Genomic DNA, 14,074 nt, shown 5'->3' on the forward strand with positions numbered 1-14,074 from the left:
AAATAAACCCCAACCAACGACCAAAAAGTAACAGCTCAGCTCAAAACTCCTTATCAACATAAACCTGCAAAAAGTAATCTTCTACTATTTACAAAGAATACTTTTTATTATAACTATTGTTCTGATTTTTGTACTATATTGTGGTATGTATTGTATTATTAGAATTATATATCCATTGTTGTAATAAAAAATTTCTGGTTATATAGTAAATATCCAGAAGCACTGTTTTCTGAAATAAAGCCAATATGTATTAAATCTACGACTTTAAAGATAACTATATAGCCCTAGGTACCACCTAAGTAGCTGGTTTCCTTATTTATTAATATACATTAGAATTAGTGAAATGTTAATATTCAGTTCAAGCATTGTATTTGGGGATGCGACGCATTCTCTGAAGCCACAGAGAAGTGAAAATACTCCATTAGTCATTCTTGTTAAAGAAGACACGGCTGATTACTCCCAACTATATTTGCATATATAGTAACTTGACCTTTGCAAAGCTCTTTTCTACGTGGTCTCATCCAGTCTTAGAAAAATCTTATAAGCCAGGGCAAATCCTTTTTATTTTACTTGACAGAAAATAGGGTCAAATGCTTAAGGTCATGTAATTGATAAAAGGCAAAAGTGGGACTAGACACCAGGCCTTTCTTCCCCAAAGCCTACAGTCATTCTATAAAGCTCTCATGGCTTTCTGGCCATAGGTCCACTAGACTGTGAGTACCACAGAAGACCATGTCTGATTTGCTCTCCATTGGTGTCCAGCATAGTATCTGACACATAGTAGTCACATAATAAGTATGTTATTTGGTGAATTACTGAAATCATTTTCTTAAGTGGCTTTAGTTACCTGTATGGTAAAATGGGGCCTATAGCATTGCCAAATATCTTGGCTTTTTAAATGGTATTGTCATTATCAGGAATAAACAAAAAGGAAATGCTATCTTCTGTGAACTATATATGTTGATTCCCAAGGGGATCAAAATTCTGGGCCAGGGCCCCATTTCAGCACAAAAGGTAGCAAGTAGTATGTTTTTCAGCTTCCTGGAAAATTAAGAGTTGAATGGAGGGGTCAAGTGGAAGAGCCTTAACATGGGAAAGGAAAAATTGAATGCAAGATTTCAGGCATAACGATGACCACCTACAAGGCTAGCACAATGGTCCAGCTATAGCTAACCTACCATGGCAAGAAATGGGCTTGCCAAAGGAGTGTGAACTCATCCAGAGAGTACACACACCAGTGAGAGAGAATCCACTCCATGGCAGGAAGACATAGCTTTGAGGTAGGCCAAGCCCAGGAACCAAGTGTGCAAAGGTCTAGGGCAGAAAGAGCCACTCTGGACATGGCTTCACAGGCTTTCTGTAAAACCATCTGTGCTTAGCCACCTAGAGCAAGGCAGAATGAGGAGCAGCTGACCTCCTTTGGTTTACTGTGGCCAACCCCACAGGGATCTACCGACCACATTGACAACCACCCCAGAGAAAGATACCCAGAAATGAGATGGTGAGTATTCAAAAGTCCTGTTAACCTGGCAGACTATTCATTTCCTATGAAGGCCTCATTAACATCATTTAGAGCTCTATTTTCCCTCCATTTTAAACCATATATTCAAACATATACATCCCATTATCATTCTGGTTTTCTATTCACTACCATACCACTATATATCCCATTCTTTCAGATCTCTACTATGATCCCAAGATCATTTTCAGCTATGCTTCCATAAAAGCCCTTCTCCACCAAATATTCCTTAATGCATCACACATTAATTACAGAAACAAGGTATCCAAAGCAATTGAGTCATTTCAGATAACTGAAGGCTAATTCATTAAGCACCATGTTGTAGTCTTGCTAAAATAAATGATGCCTTAGTAAACATAAAATATCAAATGTAATTTACTAGTTCCAAAATTTTACTCAAACTTCAAGATCCAGTCTGAATACAAACATTCCCTTAAAGCAACCTCCAATCTCCTCTTGCCACCTCCATCCACCACTAGAAATAACCTCTCTTTCATCTGTGATCCTATAACATTTTGATTATATCTCCTTCACAGCACATAGCATGGTCTGCTTGAGGTTAGAGATCTAAATGCACCTCGACTTTTTAAAAAGTTCCTTGAGGACATGGACCCTCTTTTCAACTAAGGTACCTAGTTCACAGCAGGAATACAAACACTTCACAAGATGAATACCTTTAGTGACTTAAACATTATAAAGAGCACCGTAATACAGCAGAGCCTGCAAGGGTTCCTGAGCTCTGACGGGAGGAAAAGTGTGACATTAAAGAACATATTATCACCATCACACTGATCGGTTGAGTATTCCTCAGCTTTAGAAGAAAATGTTTTTCTAAAAGGGAACAACACTCTGAATTCCTTTTTTTCTCTAAAATGGAATCACTTTTTACAAATCTCAACTTGCAAAATGAAAGTTCTGGTTGAAATGGCATTGCTAATCCTCCACGGCCACATTTTCTAGGCCTCATGATGTACATTTGACTAGCTCCCTGTAGTTCACTGAGGAGAGGAGACAGTGACTGGAAGGATGTGGTAGGTGACTGGAATGCAACTGAGGTGCTGCTATTCACCAGTTTGAAAGCCAGCCTTCTCAGTCCAAGAGGAAATAAGAAATGGAACACATGATTGAGCAAATCAAGTTTTAGGCTCAAGGTCCATAGCAACCACTTCAACAGTGCTGACAACATTCTTTTCCCAAAGCTTTAGTGTTTGGGTATGATAAACCAGGTGGTATAGTGTTAAGTAATCTAAACAATGCAACTCAAATTCAGAACCTCTTTAATAGCAACAGGGGGAGTGTAAGTGGTCAGCCAAGAATGACTAACTCCAAGTTCCCTCGTGAGCAGCTATTCTTTTGCAGGATTCCTCTCCTTGTCATGGAAAGAATTTTCCCAGGGAAAATAGGGAGAATGGGGCAGTAAGGCTACCAGTATCATAATATTAAATATCTAATCATATAGACAACCCCTTGGGGATAACAACTGTTCTTAACTTTGGCTTGTTGAGTAAAACTTTGTTTTTAAATCCAGTATCTTCAGAGACAGAATTGTGCACATAATTTTACAAATACCTAAAGCACTAAGCATGCTGGTTTATGACGGAAAGCTTTCTAAATTGCACAACTTCCTTCTCAGCCTTTCTGAACAAACTAAACCCTAATTCGACCTATTCCTGTTGAACATGATAACAATTATAATCAGTTGATGTATTCAGAGACCACCGAGGCAAACAGGTTATGTTTTTCTCTATAATAAATGTCTCCAAACAGCTATACTTTGAATTATTTTATAGAGCATTTCTGTTTCTGTCATTACTAGCTGTCCCTTCCTGCTGTTGTCAGTGTGTTTGCCTCTGATAGAGCATTCTTAGTTCACTGTTTCTGATATCAGATGTATCAGGAAAGCCAAACTCTTAAGTGTCATGGGCTAAGGTTCCCTCCCACCAGTCCCACCTTCTTCAGACCCAGGCAATAGGCTTCCAGATGCCATGTTCTTAATCACTACAGCTGCATTTCCCAAACTTGCCTAATTATAAAGAATTACCAAGTGGGGAGGGTGTTAAAAATACACATTCTCAGTCTCCTCCTACTAAAGACTGTAGTTCAGTGGGCCCGGGATAGAGCCTGGAATCTGTTTTTTTAACATACATCCTCATATGATTTTCATGAACACGTTTAGAAACACAATACTACATGCCTCTAGTGCTGCCCTCTTGAATTGGGATTCCTTCAGAAGTATAATGAACCTGGGCCATGGCCGACTCCTTCCTGAGAGACCTGGCAACCAATAAACCTTCCAGGTCACTACTTTTCCATCTCCCTCGGGTAAAATCCCCTGATCCTTTCAGATTCCTGCAGGGTAACCACAACATCTCATTGCTGGGATCTCCAACCCCACCCCATTTGCTGAAGATTCGGCCCACTTTCCTTTTCTCCATCCTAAATATCCTACAATCCTTCTGATGGCTTCTCTGACCACACAGATGGCTGAAACAACTCTCCAGCCTCTCAGTTACTTGACCTCCTTGAATTCAGCCTTCTTCACTGAGTTCACTTCATTTCAGTCACTTATATCTGTAGCAAAACACAGGAATCTGTCATGCCCAGTAATTAATTGCTCCAACTCTGAAATCTTCCACTCATGCGTCCCTCTCTAGCCACATCCTATTACTCCATCACTCCACACACCCATTCCTTGACTTCAACAACACTGGTCCTTTTCTCCTCCCCATCTAGCCTAGATACCTTTAGCTATCACGTTAGTCACCCCCTGGCCAATATCCCAGTTCCTCTGCTCCACTGTCTTTCTGCCACTCACCCCAGCAAACCCCAACCCTGGCTCAATCCAACTATATGCCTTCTTTGCTCCTAAAACCAGGCAGCTGAATGCTACCAGTGCCCCAGTTAATCCATGGTCCTATCTCAGTGGAGCCCTGCATACTGCCTGGAGATCATGGACATTGTCTCAGGTTCATTACCCACTCTTCTTGACCTCAATGGTATGTCAAACCTTGTTTTCCTCTGACCTCTTCCCATTTATTCTTAGCAGACCTCACCTCTATTTCACAGAGATGATAACCACCACCAGACTTGGCACTTGCTCATAAGGCATCCCACCAGAAAATATAACTGTGCCCAGATATTCCAACATGCGAGCTGTCAAGCCCATTATGCTTAAACTGAGTCTACTGTTCACTTGGTTATTTGAAATAAACTCCCTGGTGGTAAGCATTACTGACGTAAACAGTATGCTGGTGAATATCTTTCTAGTGCAAAAAAATAAAATAAAATAGTATAGCCAGCTTCTTGAAAGATCTCTCTACCCTGAGAATACTTCTAAAGATGGGGAAGAGGTTTTTTTTTTTTTAAAGAAAGCTATCTTACTTCACAAGCATTTAACAAGCACAAATCCAAACATACGTTGTCATACATCAATAGAATAATTATAAATCCCAACCCAGATAGTTAATTCTGATTTTTTTTTTTTTTTTTTTTTTTTTTGAGACAGAGTCTTGCTCTGTCACCAGGCTGGAGTGCAGTGGCGTGATCTCGGCTCACTGCAACCTCCCCCTCCCAGGTTCAAGCAATTCTCCTGCCTCAGCCTCCTGAGTAGCTGGGACTACAGGCACGTGCCACCACACCAAGCTAATTTTTTGTATTTTTAGTAGAGACAGGGTTTCACCATGTTGGCCAGGATGGTCTTTATTTCTTAACCTCGTGATCCGCCCGCCTAGGCCTCCCAAAGTGCTGGGATTACAGGCGTGAGCCACCGTGCCCGGCCAATTCTCTGATAATTTTTATAAATTCAAAACTACGGTCAGTGAAAGAACACTAAGTTAGTTATTGTCTGTCATTCACTCTTATCCAAACTCTAAATTGTTGATGAGTTTACAAGTCTTTTCTTGAGGATTTTTTTTTCTCCTTATAATAGTAATAGCTAACATTGATAGTTTTTTGTGTATAATTCTGCTCCTCAAAAGATCCTATGAGATAAGAACTATTATTTTTCTCCATTTACAGCTGAAAAAACAGACTTAGACATGTAATTTTCCTCAAGGCTTACAGCTAGAAAGTGGCAAAGGTAAAATTAGAACACAGAGCCTGAAAGCAAACTATCTATATGCTTTGGCATAGTGGTTATTAACAGAAGCTTCCCAGGAGAATATAACATCCTAACCCAAGTGTTCTTATTTTTAATGCTCTCATACATGCTTAGAAAAACAAGAGAAACCATCAGGGATTAATATTGCAGCATATTTCATATTCATTCATTCCTGCATTCATATCAGAAGGCAGTAATGAATAAGGGGGAAGGTTCTAAAGTCACATCACATAGATTAAAATCCTAATTCCACCATATTCTTAGCTATGTAACTTTAAACATTACTTAAATTCTCTAAGTTCAATTTTCTCAACTAAAAAAACAGAAGTGGTAATATAATTACCATCATCACCATACTGGGTTCTCCCGAAGATTTAGAGATAATGTGTGAACACACATAGCAATGGACCTGGTACATACGAATTCTCGAAAAAAGTAGCTATTAAAATAACTATTCAAAATGTTCTGAGGCCCTACACCTACTGGACTCTGGGCAGAGCACTGGGTGCTAGGACTGTACCATATACAGGACAAGGCTGTCCCTGCCCTCCTAGATCTTGTAGTCTCTATTGGGGGAGTAGACAATAAAGAAGAAAACAAAAGAAGGAAACATATAAATGAAGTGCTATTGAGGGGGTAAAGCCAGCTGGACTTCCTGGGTCGAGTGGGGACTTGGAGAACTTCTTTGTCTTACAGGAGGATTGTAATATGCACCAATCAGCACTCTGTAGCCAGGATTGTAAAACGCACCAATCGGCACCCTGTAGCTAGCTAGAGGTTTGTAAAACGCACCAATCAGCACTCTGTAGCTAGCTAGAGGTTTGTAAAATGGACCAATCAGCACCCTGTAAAATGGACCAATCAGCAGGACATGGACAGGGACAAATAAGGGAATAAAAGCTAGCCACCCCAGCCAGTAGCAGCAACCCACTCGTGTTCCCTTCCAGGTTGTGGAAGCTTTGTTTTTTCGCTCTTCACAATAAATCTTGCTGCTACTCACTCTTTAGGTCCATGCCATCTTTAAGAGCTGTAACACTCACCACAAAGGTCCGCAGCTCCTTTCTTGAAGTCAGCAAGACCACAGACCTACCAGAAGGAATGAACTCCGGACACACTATGAATTTTAGTGAAGTGCAAGCAATAAATGCACATGTGCTGAGATAGAGGACAATGGGGAGGAAGCTACTATAGAAGTGGTGATCAGGGAAGGCCCCTCTGAGGAGGAGATGTTTTAGCTGAGACTGGACGTTTAAGGATCTTTCTATGAGACAAGTGGAGGTCTTGAAGAGCCTGTACAGAAGAGGAGAATACGGCATGTTTGAGGAACTGAAGGTGTTCAATCTGACAAGCATGGCAAACAAGGAGGGGAGCCTGGAGAGGGAGCACGTCAGAGTAAGTGTGGATGCGAGTCCAAGTGCAGTGGAAGCCACCAAGCAGGGGGGTGGCATGCTTGGGTTTACTCTTTAGTAGGATCACTCTGGCTGCTGTGAGGAAAATGTGCTAGAAGAAAGCAACAGTGGAAGCTGGGAGACCAACCAGGAGACAGGGAATCATCCATCTGAGAGAGGTGGGTAGGTGAATTAGGAAGATGGAAAAAAGGGAGGGTTTGAGATATTCTAGAGGCTAGGCCAAAAAGCCATACAGATGGGTTGCATGTGGAGTGAGGAAATGAGAAGAATCACAGACAACTTTCAGGTGTCCAGCCTGAACAATGAATAGACAGTACTAACTAACAGTGAGACGGAAGGCTGAAGGGGAGAGTAAGGAAGGGTCAGGAATGAGGAATACAAATTTCGAAGCTTGAGAGGGAGATTGAGAGATCAGTTCTGAACCTGTGAAATTTGAGATCACTGGGACAGGAAGGTGGTAGCTAAAACTGCAAGTCTGGAACCAGAGAAAGGGTGGGGAGACGTAACAGAAAGAGTCATCTGCATCCAGGGGGTTCTAGGGTCCTGGGAATTGATGAGATCATTTAGAGAGAGAATATGATGAGAGAAGGGAGGTAGCAGAGCCAGAAAAGAAAAGAAATAATCAAAAATCACGTTGATAATTTAAAACTGAACATGGTAACACAGCCCACACAAACATAGAACTGGCTCAAATACATGCTCAATCAATACCTGTGGAACAAGTAAAAATAAATTCTTAACACATACTTTTAGGCCTTTTTTTTTTTTTTTTTTTTTTGAGATGGAGTCTCACTCTGTCGCCCAGGCTGGAGTGCAGTGGCGAGATCTCAGCTCACTGCAGGCTCCGCCTCCTGGGTTCACGCCATTCTCCTGCCTCAGCCTCCCAAGTAGCTGGAACTACAGGCGCCCGCCAACACACCTGGCTAATTTTTGTATTTTTAGTAGAGACGGGGTTTCACCGTGTTAGCCAGGATGGTCTCGATCTCCTGACCTCGTGATCTGCCCGCCTTGGCCTCCCAAAGTGCTGGGATTACAGGCATGAGCCACCACGCCCAGCCTCCTTTTAGGCCTTTAAGAAAATAATTTTCATTTAGGATTCCCCCCTTACCACCACCACTACCAACTTCTTGTATATTTGGAGGATAAGAAAAACAAGTTTTTGAAGGTCTCTGTTTGGATTGTGTTCAAGGAGATCCTTTTTCTTAAAAATAAGAAGCAACTGTTTTTTTCCAAAAAGTCACTAAAATGAAAAGTAGTCTACCTGAAATTCAAACCTTTGAAAAGCTTACGCTCACATTACGACTTCTCTGTAAAAATTCTACCCCAAGATACAATTTTCCCATCCTCATAAATTAAAATGCAATTATACATTTTACTACAGATGTTTCATCCTGAAAGATGAAACTGGTACTTTCAAACAGTTCAAGAGTCACAGGAGAGATGTAAAATTGCAAAAGGTCAAGGATTTATTTTAAAATGTTAAAAAAAAATTAAGTATACCTGCTAGGCCATCCAAAAACTGATAAGCAGGGAGAGGAAAAGGACAGAATTGCCAGAAAAATAAGTAAATATGTAACAGCTATTCCCCAAATGAAAACACATTAAAGCTATAATTATATCTCTGGGTATCTGTTGACACAAAAACCCCACTATGCTCTTGAGGCTTACACTATCACTATCAACTACCAAATTGAAATCACAGCTGTAAACATAACTGGGAAACTTTATACTTTTCAAAAATATCCAGTGTGACACAGGGATAACGCATAAGAAGGAAAGCCAACAACATTTGCCAAAAATGTTCCTTCCCTCAATTGTTCAAGTTAAATCAAGACCGTAATTCTTTTTAAGACCACAGCCTCACTTTGTAAAATTCTTCTCAGATATAGATGAGAAAGAAATATCCTGACCTTTAAGAGATTGTCATTTTAACTCATGACACAGCTACCTAGAAGCCTAGAAGGCTACCAGCAAGGTCATATGAATAGATGGATAATGAGCATTCATTCTTTCCTTCATTCATTCAACAAATATTAAGTACCCACAATGGGCCAGGTGCAGTTTCTGAGCCCTGAGGATATATCGGTGAAAAAAAAGTCTCACACTTCAGGGTTAATGAGGGAGAGAGACAATACACCAACAAATAAATATGTATTACCAAGTGGTGGTAAGCAAGGCAGGATAAGAACAACAGGGAAATGGGGTGTATTTGATAATGCAGTCAAGCAAAGCCAGACAACCTAACTTTTGAGCAGAGACCTGAAGTAAGGGAGTCAACTATGTTAATATCCAGGGACCAGAGTTCTAGGCGGAGGGAACAGCAAATGCAAAGGCACTGAGGCTGGAGTATGCTTGACTTTTTTGAGACAGAGTCTCGCTCTGTCTCCCAGGCTGGAGTGCGGTGGTGTGATCTTGGCTCAATGCAACCTCCGCATCCCGGGTTCAAGCAATTCTCCTGCCTCAGCCTCCTGAGTAGCTGGGATTACAGGCACGCACCACCAGGCCTGGCTTTTTTTTTTTTTTTTTTTTTTTTTTTTAGTAGAGACGGGGTGTCACCATGCTGGCCGGGCTGGTCTCGAACTCCTGACCTCGTGATCCGCCCGCCTCGGCCTCCCAAAGTGCTGTGATTACAAGTGTAAGCTTGATGTTTTTAAGAAACAGCAAAGAGATCTGTCTGGCAAGGCTCGAAGTGAGGATGGTTGTTCGGAAGAGGGTTAGCCTGGCAGGCCACAGCAAGGCCTTCAGAGTTTACTTTAAGACAAAAAGCTATTGGAGGGCTCTAAGCAGAGGACTAACATGATCTGAATTTTTTAAAGGATTGCAAAGAGAAACACAAGTTCCTACTCATAAAACAAAGATGTATCTCTCATAATCTAGTTATAAGTCAAAGAAAAAAAGCATAGAATAAAAGTTGTGTAGTATGATAGCATTTTTGTAAGAAAAAACACGTATACATGGGAACAAGGCTAAAAGGCTTAATACCAAATTGTGATTTACTATGGTTTGTGGGATTATGGGGTTTTTTTTGTTTTGTTTTGTTTGCAATGCTTTTCTTTGTTTTTCAAGTTTTCTGCCTTAAACATGAATTACTTTGGTAATTTTTAATGTTATCTTTAAAAAGAAAAAAGCACTCCACCATGAGACTTCCCTTGTCTGAAATCTTACTTCAATATGAAAAAAAAAAAAACAAACTCAAAACCAAAAACCAAAACAACATGGGGAACATTTTTTTCCAAAAATTACCACACTTCCCATGCAATGTTTGCCTGTCATGAACCACTGCACAAATCAAGCCCCGCTCAATGTATCAAGGTCACAAAACCAACTTGGTTAATATGTTGATCATTACATAGTGGCTCTGTCCTCTACAGCAACTTTGATACCATCTTTCCAAGGCAGCAACAGAAGGGCCCTTTTCATTCATTTTCTATGTGTCTTTGATACTATTTTGCGCTTCTGGATTTTTCCACTGTATGTCTCTTAGAAACAAATTAAGCTCGAATAAGTTGTTCCAGCTAATGAAGTGCGCTTTTGGCTCCTTCTCCGTGGTTCAGAATTATCCGGCAAAATACCAATTGTTTTAGGATGCATTTTCTCTTAGTTTTGAAATATTGCAATACTAAGTTACCACAAATAAAGAGCATTGAGATAACAACACACAAGAACGTGTATAAATGGAAACTACTGTAATCCTTTTTTAAATTAAGGACGTGTGGACGCCTCATGAATAAACATTTAGGATATCTGGATAAATATATACTATGTGTTCACATAGATAAAAACAGAAAGGAGCATTCCTTCCTACCTCACTCCCCCACCCCAAGTCACATAAGTTTCTCGCAGGGCACAAGCCCAGGGCAATCACTGCTCAGAAATGTAAACCATGCAACTCAAAATGACTCAAGCCCTCAAACACTCCCCACCTAAGTCCTACATCCCATCCACTCCTCAATCACTTCCAACAGGCTTCCCTGAATGAAAATCCCAAACTGGGAAGGCTTAACAAGCTCCAAACTCCACTCACACGCCACTCAGGGAATCCGAGGACCTGGGGCCCACGTGTAGTGTTTTCGCGTGGGCAGACAAGGGTCCCAAGATTCAGGGTGCTACTGTACCCCGAGTGGTTCGAGTCCTGGCTCTGCCGCCTTCACTGGTCGAGCTGACGCTCTTTACACCGGGGGCATGGGCTGCCACATCCCAGCAGAGTGCAAGGGCCCTCGGGCGTGGACGCAGGCGGCTCTCGGGTGCACACGCGGAACGCACACTCGGGCATGCACTCTCACACGGTCAGGCGGGCCTGCGCGAACGCCCCCGCTTCCCCTCTACCACCCCCTTTTGCGCCTTCTACGATGGTGGCACGCGGGGCTACCCTGACCCCTAGGACCCCTGGACGCCCGCTCCTGGAGCCCGGGGGGTGATGACAGATGGCGGAGGGCGGGGCTCCGGGGGGAAGGGGCGGAGCCTCTCAGCATGGGGGTGCTGGCGGCTGACAGAAAGACCAGGGGCAGCCGGCGGGAGGGGGCTGACTGAGACTGCGGGCCGGCCGCGGGCCAGGCGTGGCGGGAAGGAGCTCGCGCAGACACAGGGTCTGACAGGCAGAGAGAGATACAGACACCGGGGACTGACAGCCGCGGGGGCACGCGGGGCCGGCTGGCCGTGGCGGGCGCTCACCTGGCAGCGGCGGCGGTGGCGGCGCCCGCGACCGGGCCGCTCTTCCCGCGCTGCGGGCCTCCCTCCCCGCGGCCGGGCGGGCGGCCGGCGCAGGCCCCGCAGAGGCGGCGGCGGCGGCGACGCCGGAGCCGCGGACTGCTGAGCGGCGGGGACGCAGCTGCACCAACCGACTCCGGGCCGCTCGGCTGGGCTCGGCCGCTCTCGGAGGCGCTCGGCTCTGCTCGGCCTTGCACGGCTCCCCTCGGCCTTGCTCGACTCGGCTGGGGGCGTGGCCCAGGCCCCCCAGTCCGCCCAGGTCGCCTCTGGCGGCCGCGGGGCGGGGCTTTCGAGCGGGTGCGAGCCCCCTGACGTCGCGGGGAGCGGACCTTGCCCCCGGCGCATGCGCCAGCACTCCTCCTCCCCCCTCCTCCCCGCCCCACCGTGTGGAGGCTGAAGAAGACGGGGAAGGAGGCGCTGGGGGCGGATGCTGCGGTCCCAGAGGTTCCTGGCTTTTGTACTCCATATCCTGCTCTTTCCAGAGGACCACTTAAAGAAGGTCACACCAGGTTACACTTTCAAAAGGATGTGTGTGTAGGCTGGCAGGGGCTCTCGCTCCTGTCTGCCCCCACTCCTCCAATTCCAGTGTTTCCCAACAAGCGTCGACTAGGAGTGGTCTTTTATCCAACCAAGGGTTCACTGCAATTTTTAATATTTTCTGTTTTCTTAAGAATAATAACAAAAAAACTAACTCTTGATCACTGTTTTAACATTGAGTCTTCAAGTACTTGAACTTTCAAACATCAGTCAGCCTCCTCGAGTCCACTAATACCGTCCTTTCTTCATAGCTGTTGTATAACCTGTAATGCCTGGGATGGGGTTGGGTTCTTTCCTGAATTCTCGTCACATGATCCAGGCACCTTTTTAGTTATGGAACCAAGTCTGCAGCAAATATGCTCAGAAAGTGGCTCCCACCTTTAGAATCCAGTGATTAGTAAACAGCAGGAGCTCTACGGTCTTGACACACCTGGATGGGAATCCCAGATCTGCATTAATCTAGCAGGTTAATAATTGTCTGAGTGACTTTGGACGTGTTAATCTCTCAACTGTAAAAGGGCAATGAAACATGAGTAAATCAGTAGAAATATTAAAAGGGTTAAATGACACCACATATAAAGATTTCTGCACAGTGCTTGGTGTTCAATAAGTAAGGCTGCCTTTAACTTCAAGTAACTTTAGAACCTTCAGATCCTGAAAACCAGGGAGCATATACACAAGTGTGAGCGATGTGTCCAAGTAAACAAGTCGATAGTCAAACACCCATACGTGGCACCTTAGCTTGCTCCTTTCACAACCTTCCCTACCTCAGTTCATGTCAACTCCATTCTTCTGATGACTCCAGACAAACCATTGGAGTCATCCTGGACTCCACTCTCCCTATCATATCCCACATGCAACCCATTAGAAAAGCCTGTCAGCTCTACCTTTAAAATACCCCTTTTCCTCTTTCCTGGAATATTGTAGTAGCCTCCTGCCTGTTCTCCACGATTCCACTGTGCTCTCATGGTGCCTTCTCTCAACACAGAAGCCAGAGGGATCCTGTTGAAACCTAAGCTCAAAAGCCCCCAGAAGGTTTCCCATCTCAGAGTAAAAGCCAAAAAAAAAAAAATATGGGGGCAGTGGGGTGGAGAGTGGGACACAGTCTCACTCTGTCTCCCAGGTTAGAGTGCAGTGGCCCCATCACAGCTCACTGCAGCCTCAACCTCCCAAACTCAAGCAATCCTCCCACCTCAGCCTCCCAGGTAGCTAGGACTACAGGTGCACGCCACCATGCCCACCTATTTTTTTCATTTCCAAAATGTGGTTTTTTTCCCAAAGGCTTCCAAGATCCTATGTGTCTGCCCTTCGTCCACTTATACTCTCCACCTCTCTAACTGCACCTCCTTCCACTCGGCCTCCTCATTGCATGCCAGGCACACTAGCCTCCTTCTTGCTCCTGGAATATGGAGGCTCACTTCTACTTCAGAACCTCTGTACTTGGTGTTGCTTCCTCCAGATATCAGAAAGGCGTGTGCTTTCCAAGTTTCTACTCAAAAGTCACCTCCCCAGACTTTCCCAGACCACTCTACTAAAGTATCAAGTCCCAACTCCAATCACTATCCTCTAAGCCTGCTTTACTTTTCTGCCTAGCCCTTCTAACCTGAATATCATCTATAATATCTCTGAAGGTGGGAACTTTGTTTTTCCCATCTTCAACATCTAGAACATGGGTCGACATGTTCAGGTACTCAATAAGTATTTCTGGGATGAATGAGAATGTATATAGGTTATACTGCTCCAATACAACTTCATTTATTCAACAAACTTTTCTGAGCATCTATTTTGATCCAGGCACAGTGG

At 43.8% G+C, this 14,074-nt stretch overlaps 1 protein-coding gene across 13 annotated transcripts in view, besides 3 other annotated features; it reads right to left on the minus strand.

Annotated features, from left to right (window-relative positions):
* ZHX3 (zinc fingers and homeoboxes 3) overlaps positions 1–11,921 on the minus strand; it is a 139,277-nt gene extending 127,356 nt beyond the window's left edge. For 6 of the 13 annotated variants that reach the window (NM_001384319.1, NM_001384320.1, NM_001384322.1 and 3 more), the window contains exon 1: positions 11,143–11,921. The gene's annotated coding sequence lies outside the window, so the exon portion shown is untranslated. Of the gene's footprint in view, positions 1–11,051 lie in introns of all 13 variants that reach the window. The other 7 variants (NM_001384317.1, NM_001384325.1, NM_001384316.1 and 4 more) reach the window with 2 other exon arrangements.
* Positions 11,441–11,730: a silencer, noted in NCBI's record as "silent region_12917". NCBI's record gives its function as "represses an Ori minimal core promoter by ATAC-STARR-seq in GM12878 lymphoblastoid cells {active_cell/tissue: GM12878}" and the evidence as "EXISTENCE:reporter gene assay evidence [ECO:0000049][PMID:35858748]".
* Positions 11,741–12,190: a silencer, noted in NCBI's record as "silent region_12918". NCBI's record gives its function as "represses an Ori minimal core promoter by ATAC-STARR-seq in GM12878 lymphoblastoid cells {active_cell/tissue: GM12878}" and the evidence as "EXISTENCE:reporter gene assay evidence [ECO:0000049][PMID:35858748]".
* Positions 12,301–12,350: an enhancer, noted in NCBI's record as "active region_17892". NCBI's record gives its function as "activates an Ori minimal core promoter by ATAC-STARR-seq in GM12878 lymphoblastoid cells {active_cell/tissue: GM12878}" and the evidence as "EXISTENCE:reporter gene assay evidence [ECO:0000049][PMID:35858748]".

Source organism: Homo sapiens, chromosome 20, assembly GCF_000001405.40.
Source record: "Homo sapiens chromosome 20, GRCh38.p14 Primary Assembly".
Classification (NCBI taxonomy): domain Eukaryota; kingdom Metazoa; phylum Chordata; class Mammalia; order Primates; family Hominidae; genus Homo; species Homo sapiens.